This window comes from Homo sapiens, chromosome 3 (assembly GCF_000001405.40).
Source record: "Homo sapiens chromosome 3, GRCh38.p14 Primary Assembly".
In the NCBI taxonomy this organism is placed as follows: domain Eukaryota; kingdom Metazoa; phylum Chordata; class Mammalia; order Primates; family Hominidae; genus Homo; species Homo sapiens.
The window spans coordinates 19,249,240-19,272,696 of NC_000003.12; the positions used below are offsets into that span (position 1 = coordinate 19,249,240).

General features: G+C 36.8%; 1 protein-coding gene across 5 annotated transcripts in view, besides 2 other annotated features; it reads left to right on the top strand.

Annotated features, from left to right (window-relative positions):
• Positions 1-23,457, top strand: part of KCNH8 (potassium voltage-gated channel subfamily H member 8) — a 387,133-nt gene that overhangs the window by 100,730 nt on the left and 262,946 nt on the right. For 4 of the 5 annotated variants that reach the window (XM_017005698.3, NM_144633.3, XM_017005700.3 and 1 more), the window contains exon 2: positions 4,415-4,648. The exons of the other annotated variant lie outside the window; for it this stretch is intronic. In XM_017005698.3, coding sequence (XP_016861187.1) covers positions 4,415-4,648 — 234 coding nt within the window. The remainder of the gene's footprint in view (positions 1-4,414; positions 4,649-23,457) is intronic. 5 annotated transcript variants of the gene reach the window in all.
• Positions 17,811-18,334: an enhancer, noted in NCBI's record as "OCT4-NANOG hESC enhancer chr3:19308542-19309065 (GRCh37/hg19 assembly coordinates)". NCBI's record gives its function as "activates a minimal SCP1, AML or CMV promoter by ChIP-STARR-seq in naive and primed H9 embryonic stem cells {active_cell/tissue: H9 hESC(naive and primed)}" and the evidence as "EXISTENCE:reporter gene assay evidence [ECO:0000049][PMID:30033119]".
• Positions 17,838-18,132: a silencer, noted in NCBI's record as "tiled region #372; HepG2 Repressive non-DNase unmatched - State 24:Quies, and K562 Repressive non-DNase unmatched - State 24:Quies". NCBI's record gives its function as "represses a minimal TATA promoter and a strong SV40 promoter by Sharpr-MPRA in HepG2 and K562 cells {active_cell/tissue: HepG2 | K562}" and the evidence as "EXISTENCE:reporter gene assay evidence [ECO:0000049][PMID:27701403]".

Consider the following 23,457-nt stretch of genomic DNA (forward strand, 5'->3'; position numbering starts at 1 on the left):
TAGGGATTCCAGGACTGGGATTCAGAAAAGCATGTGTTTCCAAGTAGATAGCTGGGCAAGAGAGGCTACTCTCCCAAATACAGGGACCATTCATGTAGCTAGTACACTGAGCTTTATGAAGCTCAGACTGCCACTAAATCCTCTTTAGAATTGAAATGCAATTACACATCGAGGACAAGTGCTAAATATAAACAGAAAAGACCAAATACGTGCCTTTATTTTTTCCTTTGTTTTTGCAGTATATTTGCAGAAAGAATTAACCACCTCAAACACACTATAATCCTTAATTGAAACACACAGATCAGTCAACTCAGTGAATCCTTCAGCATCTTTTGTCAAAAGTTTATTGTAGCTCTGAGGGACTGGTCTTTTCTTATATTCATAAACAATTATAAAGATGCTAAGGAAATTAATAAATGAAGCAAGTAACTAAGAAATATACCAAATGAAGCATCATTAAATATGTCCTAAATATTTAAAAATAGGCACTATGTTGCTTGAGGATACATAAGGGGTGAAAACTACATAAATGTGAGTGATTATTACAAAAATTCAAGTTATGGGCTTCTTCTTTGGGAAAGGAAGGAAATACAATTTGTATGGTATACCCAGGGGTTTTCACTGCATGAATGATCTACAGGTATTTATTATTGTTTAATAATATTATATAGTCTTTATGGGGTATCCTATATTTCCTAATTTTTAAAAATGGCAAAGGCAAGCTGGGTATGGTGTCTCATGCCTGTAAACCCAGCAAGGCCAAGGTGAGTGAACCACTTCAGTTCAGGATTCAAGACCAGGCTACGCAACATGACAAAACCCCATCTCTACAAAAATTAGCCAGGTGTGAATTTTTAACGTATAATCTCTACAGAGAAAAATCTGTGTGGTAGTGTGTGCCTTTAATCCCAGCTACTCTAGTGGCTGAGGTGGGAGGATCACTTGAGCCCAAGAAGTTGAGGCTGCAGCGAGCTGTGATTGTGTCACTGCACTCCAGCCTTTCTTTCAAAAAAAGAAAAAAAAATAGAAAAGACAAAATGACAAAACATAGTGAAGAGAATGCAAAAATTAAGTTGGTAAAAAACCCAATGTAATATACTTATAATAATAAAAGTAAATATATCAATCTTAGGTTGAAGAATGTATTTTTCTATTACACTTAAAATAAAACTTGATATATGCCATGTGCAAGATAATACTAAAACATAAGTCCCTGAAAGTAGGAATATGGGAAAATATATGCTAGACAAATACTAACAAAGAAAGCTATTGTATCTATATAGTTTAAGAACTGGACTTTAGGATAAAATGAAATGTTTATTCTGCCTGCAATTCTTGTTTCCGTATTCATTTTCTGAGCCTACTTCATCCAAGCATCTGCTTCTAACATTCTAGGACTTATGATAGACCATCTCGATCTATTTTTGTCTTATTCCAACCTAACCATTTCAAAGCCCAGATGTTTGATCTCTCAGCTCTAGTAGTACCTATTATTTGTGGACCACTGATTTGGTACTTATATGATGTGTTTTAGTGTTATTTATGTACATGTATTTCTTTAATTAAATTACAATATCTTAGAGCTAGAGATCATGCTTATTCTTCTTTAAATACCTCCTGTCACCTCACTCTAGGACTTGCCATCTGGTAAAATTGTGTTACCTGGCATTATCATATAATAGAAAGTTAATAAACATGTCAGCAGTCAACTGAAAAATGGCTTCTGAAAGTGCATTAAAAGCTTTTTTTAGGATGTGTAGTACTTTGTCAATCCTATGTATTTACATTTTCTAAATAATCTTCCAGCCAAAATTACAAAATGGAGTTGGGGAGAGACACACACTATTGTTAAAGTGACCCAAAGCTGTGCCGAGTTGATGAGACTGAGACCACAACCCCAGTAGGAGGGTGCCCCCCTCTGGAGACTCCCACAGGTTTATGACTATGCGATCGTTAAGGACTGGGACCACATCTAATGAACTTTTTGCATCCACACCTGAAACAAAGTCCAACATACAATGTGTAGTCAATAAGTGATTCTGCAAAGTGTGAGAGAATTAATTATGAGTCTAGGGTAATGCACCTCACTCCTGTGGCCTCAAAACAATGTATAATTGGAGTTTCTCGGTGTGTGTCTCTAGCTCATGCTTTCAGAGGGGGAGAGTGGCTGGGAAGGCAGAAGAGCCAGCTGGGCAGAGGCAGGGTGCTGATGCTTACATTACACTTGGTACTCTGGGGTTAGGCGCTGATTGGAGCAAAGCTGAGTAGTGTGGATTTTGTTCTGCCAGCCGATGGTGGACTATGTTTGGAAACAAACAACAAAAGCTTAAAAGGAGATGGAGAAACACATGGAATAGATTTTCAGTGCTTCTCCTGCTGGCCATCAAGAAGTAGCTGGAGTACCTTCTTTCCCATGGCAGGAAAGATAGTCTGTCTGCTGCAAACCTCATTTAAACTTACTGTTTTTTGAATAGGCAATATATAAAGCATGTGGGATAAAATTCAAAAGGTATAGTAGGGTATATGGGAAAAATAAGTGTTTTCCCACCTCTGCCTATAGTTGCTCTCTCTAGAGACAACACAATTACCAGATTCCATTTATTTTTAGGTATACAAAAACATTTCATGTTTGGTATGCATACACATGTGCATATATATGTATTTATTTCAGATAAATAGCTCATATAATAACATACTATACTGAATCTTGCTTTTTAACAAATTAACAGCTTATCCTGTAGTTTTTTCATTTTTATCTTTATCTTTAAAATCCCAGTCTCTAACACTGTTGGTATACCAAGTGTCCAACATTTGTTTCTTGTATGAATGAATGATTAATTTGATAGTAGTATCTAATTCATTCATAGTGAACCTAAAAGTCACCCACCAACACATTTTTTGAATGCCTTATCTTAAACCCCATCTCCAACATGCATCTTTTTTCTCTCTGTCGACATTATATTCAAATTAAATCTCAAAAAATTTATCCCATGGAAACCTTCTCTGAATATTGACTGTCTCTCCCCCAGGAGTTATTTCTAAGCACTTAATAATAGTTTAATGTTACTAATTACTTAATAATTTACTATTTTGATTGTCCTCTAAGTCTTTTGTGTTAATATTACAACCATAAATACGTGAATAGCACTCTTTTTTTTTTTCTTTTTGAGACGGAGTTTCGCTCTTGTTGCCCAGGCTGGAGTGCAGTGGTGCGATCTTGACTCACTGCAACCTTCGCCTTCTAGTTTCAAGTGATTCTCCTGTCTCAGCCTCCTGAGTAGCTGGGATTACAGGGGCCCACCACCATGCCGGGCTAATTTTTGTATTTTCAGTAGGGATGGGGTTTCACCATATTGGCCAGGCTGGTTTTGAACTCCTGACCTCGTGATCCACCCACCTTGGCCTCCCAAAGTGCTGTAATTACAGGCCTGAGCCACCACACCCAGCCTGAATAGCACTCTTAACAATAATTTTTTATTGAGTAGTTGTTTGTGCCAGACACTTCACTAAGCACATAATATGCATAATCTCATTAATTCCTACAACACACCTATGAAGTAAATAACATTATTATTATTGTAGCATACCTGTCATTGCCCAGCCAATATCACCTAGACTCACCTGGAGATCGTATCCAGACCATTTCCTTATATACCACTGTTTTCTGGCATCTTGCTGCCAGAGTGATCTCTGGAGAGTGCACTTAGCTTAAGTGGGTAGGTCAGAAGTGTCAACATATTGACATCCCAGGAGTGAACTTTAACCAATTATGTGTGGACATTAGTGGATAAATACTTCTGCTTTCTCTCCCCTTTGTGGGACAACCTTTAGTTGTACTCCTCACAATTATTTCAGGACCCATGTATTTTGCCCACAGTGGTGAACCCCTTTTTAACTTACCCTTTATTATCTTTTGTCTCTTCCCTATCTCAATTTACTACTTGCTTTCTTCCTGGAATCACCTCCCAAATAAACTAATTATGCTCAAATCTTAGTCTCAGAATTTGCTTTTGGGGAAAGCAGATTTAAGGAAATTGAGGTTTAGAGTTCTTGAGTAACTTTTTCAAATTCACCTATACATTACATGGCAGATTCAGTATATGAAACCAGAAGCCATGATCAAAAGCATCATCCCTTACTGCCAACTAGATGGTAGGTGCCACAAAGCAGACCAGTGAACATGTATGTTTCTTCCACAGTGTGTTTCAAAATGCAAGCCTAAGTCAGAACTTAATGCATACTTCTGCTGGTCAAGTCCATTTTATGTTTTGGAGTGTCTCTTTTCCACTGCAGCACATCAGAATGTGCCTTTTGGCAGCTAGCTAAACACATATGCTGATAATTTATACAGGAATTGTGTATAAATTCTCACACTTATCTAGTTGCTGAGTATCTTCTCCTTGTTTTTCTATAGATAGCAACTTCATCCTTGCCAATGCCCAGGTGGCTAAGGGTTTCCCCATAGTCTACTGTTCCGATGGCTTCTGCGAGCTTGCTGGATTTGCCCGAACTGAAGTCATGCAGAAGAGTTGTAGCTGCAAGTTCTTATTTGGGGTTGAAACCAATGAGCAACTGATGCTTCAAATAGAAAAGTCACTGGAGGAGAAAACAGAATTCAAAGGAGAAATTATGTTCTACAAGAAAAACGGTGAGTTGGCTTTCTTTCGTGCTCACTGGAGAGTAGTGAGAGGCCGTCTTCTTTCAACCTAGTAATTGCTCCGCAACTCCCATTAAGGCTTAATGGCATTTCACATACATGCAGGCTGTTACAGAAGTTCCACAAATGACTTGGATGATAGCCTTGTTTTAACCATAAGCAGCATAAACTGCCTAGAAATTTTGAATTAGAATTATAACTATTCAATGTCAATGAATAGTTAACATATATTAACTGAGTTAATATATGTTAAAATAAAGTACGTTACTATTATATTTTGGTAATTCTTAAAATATACGTTATGTATAATAGTTATTTGTATATTAATAACTTTTATCCAGGAGTATTTCTCAAATTTTATGCCTTTAAAGAACTACATCTCAATTCCAGTCATTAAAGACAGAGATCTGTGTGTTCCCTGCAAAAAAGGAAGTCAGTTAAAAAAAAAAATTGGCATATGCATTTTCTTTTCCGGTTACCTAGCCACAGAGCCTTTCTCACTATGCTCTTAAATTCTAAACACAAAACAGGAGACACTTAGCATCTCATGTTAGAGTAAATTTTCTTGGGCTCCAAACTGCCTCTGGGGAAATACTAGGTCTTTTCTTGTGGCTGCAGTTTTGTGACTCTCTTTTGAATCAAAGAGGATCTAGGGGTGTGTAAGGTGTCCTCAGTCCTTGAGTTCTATGTAGGAATACATATCATTAGCAAATGGGCCCTGGTACTTAGGGTAAATTTAAGAGGGAGAAATGGGAGAAATGCTAGATCAAAAATTAGAACAAACTATTATTTTCCTGGTATCCAAAATTCTCATTTTTTCTTCAATAGCTTTCCTTTTCCCTTGTAGTAACATAATCCCCTGAGTTTTAGCTAGTGCATGGCTACCAAACTAGAAAAAAATATTTCCCAGCATTCTTTGTAATTAGGTTGGGCTTGTAACTAAGTTTTAGGCCAAGATATATGAGAAGGAGTATTTTGTGCAATCTCTGGGTAAAATAACTGAAAGTGAAATTGTTCTCTAATTTATCTCCTTTCCCTTTCCCATGGTGTGGACAGAACTGTGCCCTAGAAAGTAGGTATATTGACGTCATAATCCCCAATATGATTGTATTTGGAGATAGGGCCTTTGAAAAGATAATTAGTGTTAAATAAGGCCATAAGGGTGGGGACCTAATCCAATATGACTAGAGTCCTTATAGGAAGCAGAAGAGGCACTGAGGGTGTGCACACACAAAAGAAAGACCACATGAAAATACAGCAGGAAGGCAGCTGTCTGCAAGTCAAGAAGAGAGGCCTCAGGAGAAACCAAACCTGTCAGCACCGTGATCTTAGACATCTAACTTCCAGAGCTGTGATAAAATAAATTTCTATCGTTTAAGCTACCTAGTCCGTGTTATTTTCTTATGGCAGCCTAAGCAAACTAATACGCATATATTAAGAAGTTAAGACAGCTTAAGATGCTTCTGGGCTGAGACAATGGGGTTTTCTAGATATAAGATCATGTCATGTGCAAACAGAGACAGTTTGATGTCCTCTTTTCCTATTTGAATACCCTGTATTCCTTTCTCTTGCCTGATTGCCCTGGCCAGAACTTCCAATATTATGTTGAATAGGAGTGGTAAGAGAGAGCATCCTCGTCTTGTGCTGGTTTTCAAGGGGAAATGCTTCGTTGATAGGTGCAGCAAACCACCATGGCACACGTTTACCTGTGTAACAAACCTGCACATCCTGCACATGTATCCTGGAAGTTAAAATGAAATAAAATTAAATTAAAAGAAGAAAAGGAATTGTATATTTGAAATAGAAACAATAATAGCTAAGATGTTGCTAAAGTTTATTTACTGGCTCTAAAAAAAAAAGATAGTTCCAGTTTTATTTGTTGTAACAATATTACAATGATGTTTATTCTTTCCCTTAAAAAGAAAAAGTTAAGACAAGGCTAGAAAACCAGTTTCAACCATTTGACAAGGACAATAACATAATGAAATGCAGAGCAACAAGATAGAAGGAACCTGGGTATGTTTACAGATCCACTTTCCACTCCAGACAACAAAATTTCTATCTTGTTTTGTTGCATTTCTGTCTTGTTTGAGTCACTTATTTTGGGGTCTTGTGTAACAATATTTAAATTGTACTCTAACACAGGGTTTCTCAACCTTGCCACTGTTGACATTTTGGGTCAGTAATTCTTGTGGTAGAAGGCTGTCCTGTGCAGTGTAGATGCTTAGCAGCATCCCTGGCTTCTATATCTTACTCATTACTTTGAGGTATTGAGATCAATGTCAAGAAGGAGAGGCTGCATATGGAAATGTCATCCCCTTTTGTAAGTTATTTTTCCTTGGAGGATATTCCCTGATGATGTGGATTTTGGATATATAGTAGTTATGAAGTATTGGAGACTATCTCTTTGGGACAGGATACCTCAAAACACAGTTCAGACCATTGTGTCCTTCCCAGTGTCAATACATAAGGCCTACATAGCAAATATGATAAAACAAAAGGATTCCAGCTCTGTGTAATTATACCATAATCATTGAAAGGAGGCCTGAGATAAAAGAAAATGCAGGATGTTGCTGAGAATGCAGACTGGCAGGGAGTGACAAAGCTGCCATCCGGTGGAACGAAGGGGAAAGGATTTCCTTTGTCTGAAATATCCGCTGACTGCAGACTTGTCCTTCTTAAGATAGGCACCTTGTGTAGGTCACTCCAAATCTATATGAGTATTTTTCTTTTTAAGCCTCTTCACAATATCCGAATCTAGGTGTCAGGACCAAACAATGGAGACTTATAGGCTTGATAGGTAGAAAGTATGGCGTACAGGTTGGGAGCAAGAATTTCTTGAGCTCAGTTTTTTAATCAGATGTCTCTGCAGCCTTAGACACACTTGGGTAGAAATCATTAAAGGCACCAGTTCCCTTTAAGTTAGTCGCCATGGGGAATTGCCTGACATTCTAAGAAAACTAATTGATCCAGTTACAAGACTGAAAATTGCCATCTACCTTAGGCTAATCATACTGCATTATAGCTATTTATATAAATATCTGTCTGCAGATACAGTTGTGAGCTTTTGAAGGCACATTTCTACATCCCCAGTGCCTGACGCCTGGGGTCTCAAACAGTGTTCATCAGATGGTAGTTTCTTAGTAAATACTTGCTGAAGGGAATTGAAATTGATTATTAGCCTATGGGTACTTAAAAATATGTCTGGATTTCTGGTTTTAAAAAATATGCTTATGACTTCAAGTGTCCTCCTTCCTTTCTTCAAGGATCATTTTCTTTTAATATGCTTTAGAAAGCAGATGCTTATCTTATCCTCCCCAGATACATTTTGACATTCTGTGATTGTGCTGCTTTGCCTATTTGTTCCTTAATGCTATGATTGCTCTCCTGACCTTACAGAAAAAGTGATATGGAAAAAGCTATCCAACACAATTTCTCCATGCTTCAGAGCTATAAAACCACATAGTGGGAGATCATCTCTGGTTTTCCCTATTCTTTCTCGTTATCCTTCAAGCTGAGATGGACACACTGAGATGTCATGTCCTATTTGTTTTCTTCCTCACTCTAGCTTGTTGGCTTTAATATCAACTTTAATATCAACTTTAATATCAACAAGTTGTGTCTTCTCTGATAGCATGAAAGACCATCATGATTGGATGTACCAGCCTTAGCTTTTATATGTTTATCTTAACATGTCTATCCTCTCTACAGAAAGCTTATTTTTCAAACCTATTTGCATATTAGTAGGTGCAATATCATCAGTTTCCTGGAAAGAAAAACGTAGAGAACAAAGATTTAAGGTTGTTCTTAGAATAATATTCCCAATTCTGCAAAAAATATTATTGTGATGTATTAGTTTGTTAGGGTTACCATTATAAAGTACCACAAACTGAGTGGCTTAAACAACAGAAATCTGTTATCTCATAGTTCCGGAAGCTAGTAGTTCCTCTAGATGATAGCTGGGTTGGTTTCTTCTGAAGGATGTGAGAAAGAATCTCTCCCGTGCCTCTCACTTTGCTGCTGGTGGTTTGCTGGAAACCTTTGGTGATCCTTGGCCTGTAGAGTGTCACCCAGATCTCTGCCTTCATCTTTACATATAGGTCTCCCTATGTGATGGTCTGTGTCCAAATTTTCCCTTTTAAATGAGGGTATCAGTCACATTGGATTTGGTCCTACTCTAATGACCTCCTTTTAACTTGATTACCTCTGTAAAGACCCTATCTTCAAAAAAGGTCCCATTTTGAGGTACTGGGGATTAGACTGCAACATATCTTTTGGGGAAGATAAAATTCAACCTAAAACATCTAGTTACATTTATGTTGAATAGATTAGGAGTTAAGTTATTTGCCCAAGATTACAAACTAGTAAATAAAAAACCCCGAATGCATAAACATTCTTGCTTGACTTCAAGGTCCTTGTTCTTAAGCCACTGATTCTCTGTGGAGGTGGAGATGCTCCCATCTCCCAGGGAAGTTTGCAAATCTCTGGAGGTTTTTGACTCAGTAATTAGGAGAATGCTTTTGTCATTTATTGGGCAAGAGTCAGAGTTGCTAAATATACTGTAATGTGTGGAATGATCTTGCAATTGAAGAATTGTCCAGTTTCTTGCATGACTTTCTAATGCCCAGTCAGACTTTCCAGGAGGTGAAACACTGGATTCTAACTACCTGAATCCTGAACTTAACATGCAGAGTGCTTTTTGAAAGGATTTATTTCCCACTGAATTTTCAAAAATAAAACCATAGTGTAAGTGAGTGAAGATTGAACTTTATCACATTCAGAATTTCACCATGTAAGAAAATCTTATTAGTGGCTCACAGCACTTGTTGGTCTGATGGAGCACATATTCAGGTGTTCTGCACTCAGAGGCGTAGCATTTGCAGTGATTCTACATACTGGTCCAATTATGCAACTGTTTTATTATATCTTCTGCTCTAGTTGGTCATACCTGAGCATTTCTTGTTGAGATATATATTACAGAGTAAATAACTTCATTTTTATTTTCTGTTTCTCTCTCTCTCTCTCTCTCTCTCTCTCTCTCTCTCTCTCTCTATATATATATATATATATATATATATATATATATCTGGAAATAATGTGTATAAGTAGGCAAGTTTTGTTATGATGATTTTTATTTCTAAATAGTAAAAAAGGAAATACAACTATTTATTTTAAAAGAGAATCTTGAGTTTTGATAAGGTTGTGGATAACTCTGTACTCACAAATGCATTCATTCTCACGTCGCCATCAAGGTTTGCCATTTCTGTGTGTATACCTCCTGAGCTATTGCTTACTTGATGTTTTTCTTTATTCTGATTCACTGTTTCATTTTACTTAAATAAATTGTAAGCAAAAGAAAACTAAGCCACTACCATGAATACAAAACCAGGATTACTAACTTCAAATAGAAGGCAAACATAAATAAATATTAAATGAAAACATTTGTTTTAAGCTTTTTTTAAATTAGAAAAGTAAAAAGTATACTGGGTAATAATAGACCTAATCAATTTTATTATGCCAACCAGCATATATGTTATTTTATTTAATTTTCCCAGTAACCCTTCAAATAAATATGGATTATCTCCTATTTACAGATGAGGAAACTGTGATGTAGAAAAATGACTTAAACACAGGTCTAAATGTTATGTCATGAACAGGTCCCAATTTGTTGCCCCAGTCATTGTCCCTTATTTTATTTACAGATTGATGCACTTCAATTTATTTATTTTTACATTTTAAAATTTAATTATCTGATGACATAGTAAATGCCCCAAAAAGCCCAATTCTTTTTAATATGTTAGGTTTTCAATTGTTTGTGAAATGGATATATGGATACATACACACATATATATGTACATATATATATATATGCATATATGTATGTGTGTTTACATACACACACACACACACTTGTTACAGCAAAAATAATTTATTTATAATTAACTGCCTTTCTTTTTTAAGGGAGAATGCCTCCAAAGGGGGAACCTCTATTTACAAGCTGGATATGTATGAAGCAAATCTCAAACTGACCTAAGCTGTTGAATAAATGAAAACTGTTGTGTGGAAATAGGGAGGGCTGAAGAGGCTTCTTTAGCATTGGGATGGGTAGAGGAAAAGAAGGAAGAACTGTGAAAGATAGGAAGAAAAGAGGAGAAAAGGGGAGAGAGCAAAGGAAACAAATGGGGAAACGTGGTGATCTCGTGGTATTTTAGCCATCAACATGTCTAAAGGTAAATTTGATAATGCTAGCTGCATATTTTAGCTTCAAATACACATTTTAACTAATATGTACATATTCAAATGTAAGATATTTATGTTTTCCCCTTAAAATAATCTTGTGTACCATTAGAATTATTCATACCACTATTTGGGCAACACGCTATGTTCATGCAAGTGTACACATAAGCTGTCTGAATCAGGTATATTCATATTCAGTCTTATGATTTCAGATCCTGATAAAAAGGAAGCAAATTTCTTCATGACCTTCCTCTTTTACAATGAGCTATTCATGACAGATAATTACAGTAAGAAACATTACTTACTTAAAAACATTTTTATTGTGTATATTTAATATATGTATTACTCTATAGGATATATATATATATATATATATATATATATATATATATATATATATAGTAAAATGGTTACTGGGTGGAACAAATTAACATATCCATTATCTCACAGAGTTACCCACTTCCACCCCTGTGGCAAGAGCAGCTGTAAGCTACTCATTTAGCAAAAATCCCAAGTACAACACACTATTATTAACTATAGTCTTCTTCTTGTTCATTAGATCTTTCAACTTGTTCATGCTGCATATTTGCTGTTTTGTATCCTTTGAACTGCATCCCCCCAAATTTTTCTCCCCACCCCAATGTTAACCACTGTTTTGTTCTTTGTCTCTATATATTTGATCTGTTTTTCAGCTTATGATTCCATATATAAGTGAGATAATGCAAGTTTTCTTTCTGTGTCTGGCTTATTTCACTCAGTATAATGTTCTCCAAGTCACATCTATGTTGTGACAAATGGCAGGATCTCCTCCTTTTTTAAGGCTGAATAATATTCATATATATATATATATATATATATATCAGTTTATTTATCAAATTTTTATATTGATGGACACCTAAGTTTGTCCCATATCTTGGCTGTTGTGATTAGTGCTGCAATGAACATGGGAGTGCAGATATCTTTTTCTTTTAATATATACTCAGAAGACAGATTTCTGGGTCATATGGTAGTTCTATTTTTAATTTATTTAGGAACCCCCATACTGTTTTTCATAATGGCTTCACCAATCTACATTCCTACCAACAGTTTAGAAGGGTTCCCTTTTCTCTGCACCCCTGCCAACACTTGTTATCTCATGTCTTTTTGATAATAGCCATCCTAATGGTGTGAGATGATATTGCATAGTAGTTTTAATTTGCATTTCCCTGATGATTAGTGATGTGGAACACCATTTTATATGTCTATTGGTCATTTTTATGTCATCTTTGGAGAAGTATTCAAGTCCTTTGCTTATTTTTTATTTGTGTTATATGTTTCCTTGCCATTGAGTTGTACATGTTCTTTATCAATCTTGGATATTGACCTCATCTTCGATGTGTGGTTTGAAATTTTTTTTCTCAATTTGTAGGTTACCTTTTCATTTTGTTGACTGTTTCCCTTGCTATGCAGAAGGTTTTTAGTTTGACGTAGTCCTGTTTATTTAATTTTTGCTTTTGTAGACTGAATTTTTGGTGTAAGATTCAAGAAATCATTGCCAAGACCAATGTCTTGGAGAGGAGCTTTTCCTCCCCTATATTTTCTGCTAAGTGTTTTATGGTTTCAGGTCTTATATTTAGGTTTTTTTTATTGATTTTCAGTTGAATTTTGTGTATGGTGTATGATATGGATGCAATTTTATTCTTTGGAATGTGGAAGTCCAGTTTTTTTTCCCAGTATCATTTATTGAAGAGATTTTCCTTATCCTCTTGTGTCTTTTTGATGTCCTTGTCAAAATTAGTTCACCATATATGTTTGGATTTATATCTGGGCTCTCTATTCTGTTTCCCTGTTCTTTGTCTGTTTTTAATGCCTGCACTATTACATTTTTATTACTATAGCTTTATAATATAATTTTAAATCAGGAAGTCAAATGCTTCTAACCTTTTTTTTTCTTTAGTCAGAATCATTTTGACTATTTTGGGTCTTTGGTGGTTCCATATGAATTTTAGGATTATTTTCTGTCTGTGGATATGTCATTGAGATTTTAATAGGAATTGCATTGAATCTATATATTGTGTTGGGTAGTGTGGACATTTTAACAATATTAATTCTTCCAATCCATGAGCATGGACTATCTTTCCATTATTAGTCTCCTCTTCAGTGTCTTTCATCAGTGTCGTATAGCTTTCAGTGTAGATATCCTTCTCATCCATTATTTTGCTTCTAATACTAAGAAGATATTCTTAATGAGTTTTTTTACACTTAGTTATTCAATATGACTCTGGAAGATTTTTAGAATATTTGATTATGTCATCTAGTTATTTCAGAATTGGAACTCAAAATAGGAAAAGAGACAATGATTTGGGTTGTAAAATTTCAGAGTATTCCCAAAATAACAATTTTAAATTTGAAGCACATGTGACTTCCCCATTTGGCTGTTAGGTAATGGGCTCATAGCATTGCATATGGAATGTTCTTCACTTAACATACAAATTTCAGAGCAAAAGATGTCATGCCCACCCATTTAATAAATGAACAACAGCAAGAATGTACTTTTAAATAGAATGTGTTGTATCCAAATGAGTGTTTTTGTGAATACCAGAGTTCCTAGCGTGGACGACACTTGTAGTTGCTTTAGAATTTCACCACGTCTAAAGAACCAAGGATTAATTTTATCAAGAGCTAGTGAAACCAGGCTTGAGATCACACAAAATAAAAAGATAGTTTATTCTAAGATTGAGTGAGACCTGGGGAGAAAGGAAAGATCATTCTGAGCAAAACAAAATTATCTTCTCACCTAGCCCTCCCATTGATTCAAACCAGAGTCCAAGCCAAGAGAAAGGCAATACAACAGCAAATGCAATATTTTTTTATAAAGTTCTCCTCAGGCTGTTGAGAATGTTAAAGTCATTAGCACCGTGGGCATTAGGCTTATATAAATGGTAGCCTTGGCAGCAACTGAAAGCATCCAAGTGAGCCTGGAGGACAGCATAAAACTTAGATTCTTACTTCTTTGGAAGCCAAGAGGACTAGATTATAGGGACATTTCCTCTGAGTGTTAGGAGTACTTGTGAAGAGCCCCAGGGAGACTTGGTTTCCTGAATATGAGACCTTGTAATATTTTTCCTGTGTAATATATATGACCATATTTTTACTCACTGGGTTGTAGAGTCAAGGAAACTCAAAACAGTTTATCTAGTGTTCCAGTTATGACAAACTACTTTAGGAACTAGCAACTTAAAATAACAATAACTATATCTTACAATTTTGTGGGTCAGGAATTTAAGTTGGCCATGGGTGACTAATTCTTCTTCCATGTGGAGTTAGCAGAGGTTGGTATTTGATGGTGTTCAGTGGGGAAATGCACCTGTTTGGCAGGTATAAGATGGCTTCACTCATGTGTGGCATCTTGAAAGGCTGAGATCAGTTGAGACAGTGAACCAAAGTGCCTACGCAAGGCCTCGTCAGCATGGTGGGTTTGGGTAGTCGCTAGTCTGGTAGTCTAGTGTTTCATGAACCAGGCAGAAGCTGCAAGAATTTTTGTGAACTCATCTAGGAGATTACATAGCATAACTTCTGCCATACCATATTTAGTGGGGCAGCCACAAGTCCACTCAGATTCATGGGAAGGAGACCAAAATTCTACCTCTTGATAAGAAGAGTGTCAAAGAATGTGCAGTTGTGTTGCACAACTTCAATATCTAGTTTCCTAGAAACACATTTGGGGACGAGTGTGTGTGTCGCAACAGGCAAGAGAGCATTTGGTTCTGAAGCTTATAAAATTTGCAGTTTTCATAAAGTCTATAGGGCCACCAAACAGTTACCATGCTTCTTTCAACTAAGTGTATTCGAGAATGTTGGGTCAGATTATTGTGACTACTCTCAGTTGCTTTCTCCAGCTTGATTCATCTGAAGCCTTACCTGAGACTTTGCATGCCCTCAAATAGAAAGCATGCATTGTTCTTTATGTTTTGGCAAAAGATTTTATGAAGATTCTCCAATATATATTTTCAGTCTTGATAGGAGATTAATATTTTATATTTGCCTCTTAGGTCTTTTGCATTCAAGAGGTGAATCTCACAAATGCATTTATGGAAGACAACTTCAAAGTCATGGTAGCAGAAAGGCAAAGGGTTGAGAAAGTACGTGCACTGAAGGTAGCACATGCAGCCTGTATGGAGAGTCTGCCTTGCCGTTTATCTTTCTATTTGCACATAAGCTTTGTATTTGTAAATGTAGGCAGTCTTTCTTTTCTTCTTTTCGTCTATCTGAACAAGCTACTCTGAGAGAGCCTATTCTTTTCCTATGGTCATGACTAAAGTTGAATTGCTTAATCAATGAGCAGGAGTTTTACGTAAGTCCAGTTTTTGAAGTGCTCTTCACTGACCCACGCTCTGCAGCCAGAATGATGAGAAGAAAGTGAGACAAACGTAGAGATCAGGTCGCAGTGCATTCATCAGAAACTGCTTAGCTTAGCTTTTTCGGCTTAGATTTAGTGTTCAGTGATACTGCCTAACTAGATTCCTCCATACTTTCACTTCTTCAAAGTCAGCCTTAGCAACTACCTGACTTTGCACAGACAACTTCATAAAATAGAAGCAGCTAGCATTTACTGAGCGTTCACTGTGGGCCAAGCTCTGTGCTCTGCTCTTTGCCTGTGTTGTTGCTTCAATTTAATCCTTTCATCAACCCTTTGAGGAATATCCTATTACTATCATATTTCACAGTTAAAGATCCTGATTCACAGAGAAGTTAAGTGGGAGGGCTGGGATCCAAGTCCTGGCAATTCTGACTCCTGACCCCTTGTACTCTGAAATACTAAGTCATGCTCATGCACCTGGCAAACCTAAGCTTTCCACCTAGGAAGCCCATGACACTCCCTCACCTGCCCTTAGTCTATGACAGGGGATGGTAGGCATGCCAGGCACTATACATACCCCTTGGGGTGAGTGATTGACAAACTATCAAAGAAGGAGTAGCTCAATAATAGCTAGAATCAGAAAGTTTTGGAGTAGAATCTCAGCTCTCTACATTCAGTAAGTATGTATTCTAGTTCAGTGACTTTGCTTGTTTGAGCCCCAGCTTGATCTTTCCTAAAATAGAGATCCAATATCATCCTTATAGGTGTCTTATGAAGGGCCAAATGAGATAACCACTTTTCAGCACACATTATCAGGAACAGCCACATAATGTGCAAATGAAAGTGCAGATGCCTTTGTTAAAAAGTTGCTAAAAATTTCAAGACAGCACCAGCAGAGCGTTAAATGAAAGCATGGGGCCCTTCTAAGCATGCAGTCTATGTGACTGCACAGACCGCATGCCCATGAGGGTGGCCTTGTACATCATAACCATTTAATGAATATTCTTTCCACCCCTGATATTCTTCCCACCAGAAGAACCTGCCTACTCCCATTTCCCAGAGTGTTGGATCCTCAGAACCTCACATTAAGGAGCCTGGAATCTAATGCTTGGCCCTGGACTAACTTTGAACCCTGGCCTGTGGGCTGGTTTCTAGTTTTCCCTTACCTTATCAGAAAGCCATGAATATCTATCCATCTTCAACGAGATCCCACAAAAGTTTTGTGAGGTCTTAGCTAAGAGGATCTATGTCTCTTGAGTTGGATAGGAATTATAAAATTAACACAAAATTTACATCATTTACACATGCTTAAACTATACTAGCAACATGAATAATTATAATATCGACTGGCTACAATTATATTAAAATAGTGCTTTATTTTTCAGTGATGAGCCTTTACTCTATGTCATCCATCAAATTTACACAATCACTGGCACCAGAAATTCATGCTTCCTGACACTGTCTTAGGTCAGACCCTTACAATTTTGGTCCAGAGCTACAATAACTCATCTCAATCTGCAGACCAACCTCCAGTTCTGCACCCTCAAGTCTTTTCTCCTCACTGTCTCCAAAGCTGTCTTCCTGAAGTGTGTCCTGCAATCCCCAAGTGTGCATCTCCACAAAACACATGCTACTGTCTTATGACAGAGCCTTCAGGGGTGCCTCGTTGCCTTTCAGGATAAATAAAAACTCTTCACTCTGGCATATAAAGCCATTCATGAGCTAGTCCCAGCCTACAATCTCTTTAAACTCATCCTTCCCTGTTTCTGTCCTCCCTGTTCCCTTCATTTCTCATCATTCCCATGTCAGCACATCCCAGACTTCAGCCTAATTATTTTATAGTTTTGTTTTTTAAAAAATCTTCCATATTCTAACTTGCCTTGTGCCTTTGTACTCGGTGTTCCCCCTGCCAGGAATGCTACTCCCCACTTCCAAATTCCATCCTCATATTAAGCTAATAAAACTATTGAGATTCAATTCAAGCCTATTTCATCTATGAGGCTTTCAACTATGACCTTCTGTTTCACACAGTGTTTCCATGTGTCACAGTAGGCACCACCTTGTGTTATAACTTTCTCTTTATGCATCTCTGTTTCATTATGCATGTTTGAGGGTGACATTGGTACCATATTAATCTTGTTATCTACAGTGCCTAGAATAGTTCCTGATATATAGTAAATGCTATTTGCTGAATGGGCGAATGAATAAATAGTTTTTCTTGCTGTTTCAATTGAAGCCCTATATTGCTTCCATGTTAGAATAGCCTTGAGATGTTGTATACGTCTCCCTATATTCTCACATAAACTCATTTTGCTTTTCTATTTCAACTTTATGGTTACCTTTCCTCCCAAGAAAGACCTCTGACCTCATCCTTCACTTTTCTTTCTATTTCTAGACATTAATTCCTTTGCTGGAATATTTTATTTTTCTCTCCTTAGAGAACATATTTCAATTCTCTGTCTTACACAGAGAGAGGGATTGGTGGTCTGGAGTTTTCTGCTGGGTTGATAAATTAACATCTGTTTGTATGGGAAGTGACCGGGTTGTTCTAAGGCATTTTAATTCAGGCATGTGGACTGGGGTCTGAAGGATTGTTCATTGACATCTCTGTGCTCTGCCTCAGTCCTGTCTGTCACAGCCGCCTCTGGGAGGTTGGGCCAATAAAGGCACAAAGGAGGTAAACAAAAAAGGCAGCTGAGAGAAGTGAGTGTGTCCCCTGAGCATGCTGGCAAGAAAAGGCCAGGGGAAAGCACCTGAGAAGACAGCCGCTAGAATGCAGCTGATGCCAGCAACTTGCACACAACTCAGAAATCCCCATGCCTGATGATGGAGACAATGGGACCACTCTGAATGTGAAAAGAATACGTATTTTACTCTACCTAGAAACTCCGGCATGTAAATAGCTCTGAAGGCTGAAAGAGCTCTCTAAGAAGTAGTTCAATGTTGGCCTTTAGCAACTTTGCAGGATGTTCGAAGGAATTCACATTTTCAGATGCATATTTGAGAAGAAAAATGTAGTAAAAATTATCTTATCATAGAAAGCATTTTTAACCATTTCTAGTGGGTTAGAATGGAAAAAAATGTGACCTTTGTGTGTGAAGGCTCGAGTTTGAGTCCTTGCACAGTCACCAAGGTGCTGTAGGTGATCTTAGCCAAGCTGATTAACCCTACAATATCTAATCTTGCCTGTAAGAGCAAGCAGAAATATTTAGCTCTTAAAAGCATTTAAGAGAATCGGATAAAGAAAGTAAGCTATAGAAAATATGAAGAAACACATAAATGCTTGTTGTATTGACTCTCAGAGTCTACATTCATATCTACCAGACCAAAAGGCTTCTGTCCCTTATGAACTATGTGATTTTGAGCAATTAACTTCAACTTCCCGAGCCTCAGTTTTCTCTTCTGTAATATGGCAATAACAGTAATAGCATCTGTTTCATAGGCTTAAGTGAAGTGTAAAGTGCCTTGCACAGTGTCTGACACATAATATGTGCTCAGTAAGTGTTAACTGTCACTCTTGTAACCAATAGTATTACTATTACAAAGTTTGAATTCATCTTACAATAATTTAGTTCATTATCTGAGCACAGAGTTTAGAATACCTGTTATGTTTGGGTCAGTCCTTCTGTTTTGCACGTAAGAATACAAGAAAAGGGAAAACATAAACCTTGCCCTCCTGTACCTTATGGTCTATTAAGAGAGAATGACTAATCAAATAATCACACAAACATATTAGGAAGTTTGAAGGCAAGTTGCAGGCTCCTATGGTAGAGAATAACAGGGGGATCTGACCAAATATGGAGTTCAAGGAAAACCTCATCAAGGAAATTATATTTGAGTTGACTTTTGAAGGATGAGTAGAAATTGACTACATGGAGGAAAGAATGAAAGCATTCTAGTCAAAGAGAGCCACGTATGCAAAGTTCCTGGGAGAGACTATCTTATTTGAGACACGGAGAGAAGGCCAGTTTAGCTGGAGGGCAGATAGCTGTTTATCACATAGGAGAAGGTAGGTAAACCAAGTTAGATCACTTGGGATTTTGTCGACTATTCTCAGGCTATTGAGAGTCAACTTAGTGCAGTCAAAGTGTTTTAAGCAGGAAAGTCACATGATGAAAATTTCATTTAACAAAGAACATTTTTGCTGCCATATGAGTAATCCACATAAGAGATGATGGTCATTAAGGCAGGTCCTACTCAGAGTGTGATGTGAAGACCAGCAGCATCAGCATACCCTGGGATTTATTGAGTGCCACCCAGACCTACAAATCAAATCTGGGGATGGGGCCCAGCACTCAGTGTTTTCACAAGCACTCCAGGTGATTCTGATGCTCACTAAAGGTTGAGAAGCCATGGCTTGGTCCAGGATGTAGCCAGTGAAGACTGAAGAGTGAATGGATTTAAAACCAATTTCAGAGGTTAGCTGCTAGAATTGACAAGATTTGGCAATATCTTTACTTTGGGAAATGAGAAAGAAGGAAGCATCAAGGATGACTCTAAATTGTGCATCTAAAGAAACCACCTAATCTGACTTTTTATACTTCGTTGTGTGTATAGATATATCTGTTTTGAGATTAGAGAAGATGAAGGACTAGGGTGTGGATTTTGGTTTACGTGTGTTTGTTTGTTTAAGCATGTACTAATCCACAGAGCACTGTTGATGAGATCTAAGAAGCATCATTATAAAAAATGACTTCAGATGAAAAAAATAACTTATAACTCGGACCATCTCAACCCATTGGCAATATAAGCAAGTTATCACTGGAGAGCTCATATCCTCTATGATAAGGAGAGCTATTTTTCTTTAAGTCTTTACTTTCCCAAAATTTCTCAATTTTGAGTCCCCCAAATTATCTTTTGAAACATCATGTTCCACTATTTTTAAAAAAATACCTTTTCAGAACTATACTAGGAGTGAAACAGTAAAAGAAATCTTGTTAAAAATGCTACTAAGATAATATACTATTAAAAGGAGAAACATTAAACTCAGAATGTGTTTTGAGATTAAAAAAGTCGCTGACCACCTAAGATTGTTACACTCTGTATAATGTCTATAATGATTTTTTAAAGGTACCTATTCTTTTTCATGCATATAAGAGACAGCCAGAGTGGACATTTCTCACGTTTTTAACTTTCTAGTTGCTTTGATCTGACTCTGTGTAGACTCAGACCACAATCTCCATTTCACTTCTTTAGACTCATGATTTACATATCTTTCGCTTTGTAATGCAGCTGAGAAAGCTCCTACTCAGTGCCATAATTCCCAAAGCAGCTTCCGCTCATGGATTTCAAAGTAAAAGCCTTATCAGAGATCCCTCTAGGCCATTGGTGGCCAACCCTATTTTTCAAGTGAAGGAGAGTTAATTATATGCTCAATATCAAACTGGAAAGAAAATGTCTAGCCTTTATTTAGGAAAACAGTGTTGTCTGATTGGATGATCTTTTACAAGACACCACTATGACATAGTCTAGGCTCCTTCTCAAGGAAAACTGTCTATATGATTTTTACACTAACAAATAGTGCTTCTTAAATACTTTGGTAGTATATAGTCTTCTTAAATCTCCAAAGAATCAAGAATTAATTCCTAGTGTACAGTAATCTTTAGGCTTCTACATCAAATGTTGGCTAATTATGACCTGTATCTGGCAGGATGCCTGTTTTTCTAAATGAAGTTTTACTATGCTCATTTTTTAATGTATTGTCTATTACTCCAAAAGCAAAGTTGAGTAGTTGAGACAGAGACCATATGCTCTGTAAAGCCAAAAATATTTAGTCTCTGGTCCTTTGTAGAACAAGTTTGCTGACCTTTGAAGATGAATAACCAAATCTGTTAGATTGCATACCCAATTGGAACCCTCACAGTTTAGAAGGATTCTGAATTTTCATTTCTTAATGACACATATGGTCTCAAAATGTATTTTTTTCTGTTGTAGGAAAATGCCTGTAATCATATGGGAAAATGTTTTGCACAAATTTATTTTTCACAAAACGATTTCTGTCTTAGAGCAGGTGTCTGGTGAGTAACGCAAGGATAAGCTTATTGGTGCTGATACCTCACCTGAGTAGTCTGAGTACAGTGATGCCTACCTGGACACCAGGTTTTGGCCTCAAGTTCTAGTGAGGTGCCCACTTTATTTTAGGAGAGAAGCAGTAAGTTGAGGAAGATGTCTGTTTTGCCTCACATGTCTGCCAAGTTGTGACTCAGGGCAATCTGGCACAGTGTTCACAAGTCTTCGTTAAGAGTTGAGTTTGCACAATGGAAGAAATGTTCAGTATGTTTGTTGTCTGCATATTCTTGGAAAGTGCTAAATTGCCACCTAAAACTGTAATCATATATTTATACACTGGAGAATTGTCATGAGATCCTTAACCATTTCTTTTTACTTCTTTTCTTATTTCCAAATTCTCGTCTCAATATTTCTGCTTTCTTACATAGGATGTATTTTTCATTCATTTCACTGCATTTGTCTAACCTTTTAGACACAAATTCTAAATCTGAAACTAATTTCTTAAAAAGGACTTGGTCAAAGTTGAATTTGTTACATGTCCTAGCTTATGTTATCAAAAAAATAATAGCAATATATAGAACCATAATATTTCCTTTTTAATATATCAAAAATAGATCATTCACTCCTGTGATAATGATTCCTTTGGTAATTTCTTTTAACATGTGTTGAAATGCACTGTGTTTTGGCAGAAAGCTCATGAAACTGAGAGTCATATGATTTGAGGTCTAGTCCCAACTCTTAAAACAATTAGCATTTTTGACTTCAGTTTACTGAACCACTCTGAACTCATGATTTTCATCTTTACAATAAACAGTTCCATCTCATCATCTTTAAGATCTTTTTTAACTCGAGCAATCTGAAATGCCTTTGTATGTTTCAACTTAATATTATGTTAGATGTTCAAAGAAACACTGAATTCTCCATTTTTAAAGTGGAGTATGATATGTGTTTCCTTCATTTAACAATGAAATGTTTCATACATACACAAAGGAGAAATTATTGGAACAAATATCCACTTTACACCACCACCTAACTTTAAGATATATTAAAACTAAACCATAATTGTCCATGATTGTTTTTATGGTTAAATAAATGAAGCATTACATATACAGGTAAAGCCCTTACTTTATATAACTATTTAAAATGCATATAATACTTCACAGCTCTTAACCCTGGCCTCCTCAAAGCTCTTAACCATGAGAATTAGCCATATAACCAGTATGCAGATGTGGTATGAACAGGTGTAAAATTATACCTGAGAATATTCAGCAAGTAAATGGCAAAGTAAATGACTGTTACTTCCAGTCTCAGAAGATGAATCCAGGGACTTGACCACATGCAACGCCATCTAAATCCTGCATGTTCCTGTTACATCTTGACCCTTCTTTTCTAAAGATACAGTTTTGTATTTAGTGTTCTTTGGAAGTAACACAAATTTGTTCTGATCATCTTAAGCAAAAATAATAATTCACTGAAAAATATATGGCATAACTTATCAAATCAAATAAATTAATGAGAATCTGAACCTTGAAAAAGACAAAAAGCAGTAGGGTTCTGTAAGTTCTAGGTAGCAAGAATAATTGGAAAGGTTTTTCCTGGCTTCATTATTGAATGAACGTAATTCCTTTGTTTTTGACCTTGGATTCATCAAATCAAGATTAAAATTACCAGAAGAGAAAGACTGATTGCTTCATTTTGGATGGTTTGCCCATTCCTCCAGTGAGGGTTTGCAGAGCACCAGATGGTTCTACCAAGGCTGCATGCAGAAAGGAGGTTTGGTTCCCAGTAAAATTTTGAGGTACAATGACAAGAAGAAGGGGGCATAGATGATATTCTGCCAAAAATATGAGAGGTAAACTATACTAATTATGTCACCTCAGAATGTGCCTGTCCTGTCTGTGATTACAGGAGAGTAGTTGGCTGATGGCCCCAGCTGCGGTGCTCTGAAACGCATCACCGGATCAGCCAAAGTTTTCATGGGCTGCTTCTAGCCAATGATTGAGTGAGGCAGGGTTGCTAAGACAGGTCTGTTCCTAGGAAATGAGGAACTGCTTAGAACTGTGCTGCAATCTAGACACTTCCTTTCATCCAGTTTTTCTTCCTTCTTCTCTCCTTCACTTGACATCAAAACTGCATCATGGTCTTCTCATAGTTTGCTTCTAAGAAGACCTGGAATAACACACAAATAGTTCATTAATATTCAAAAGCAACATTA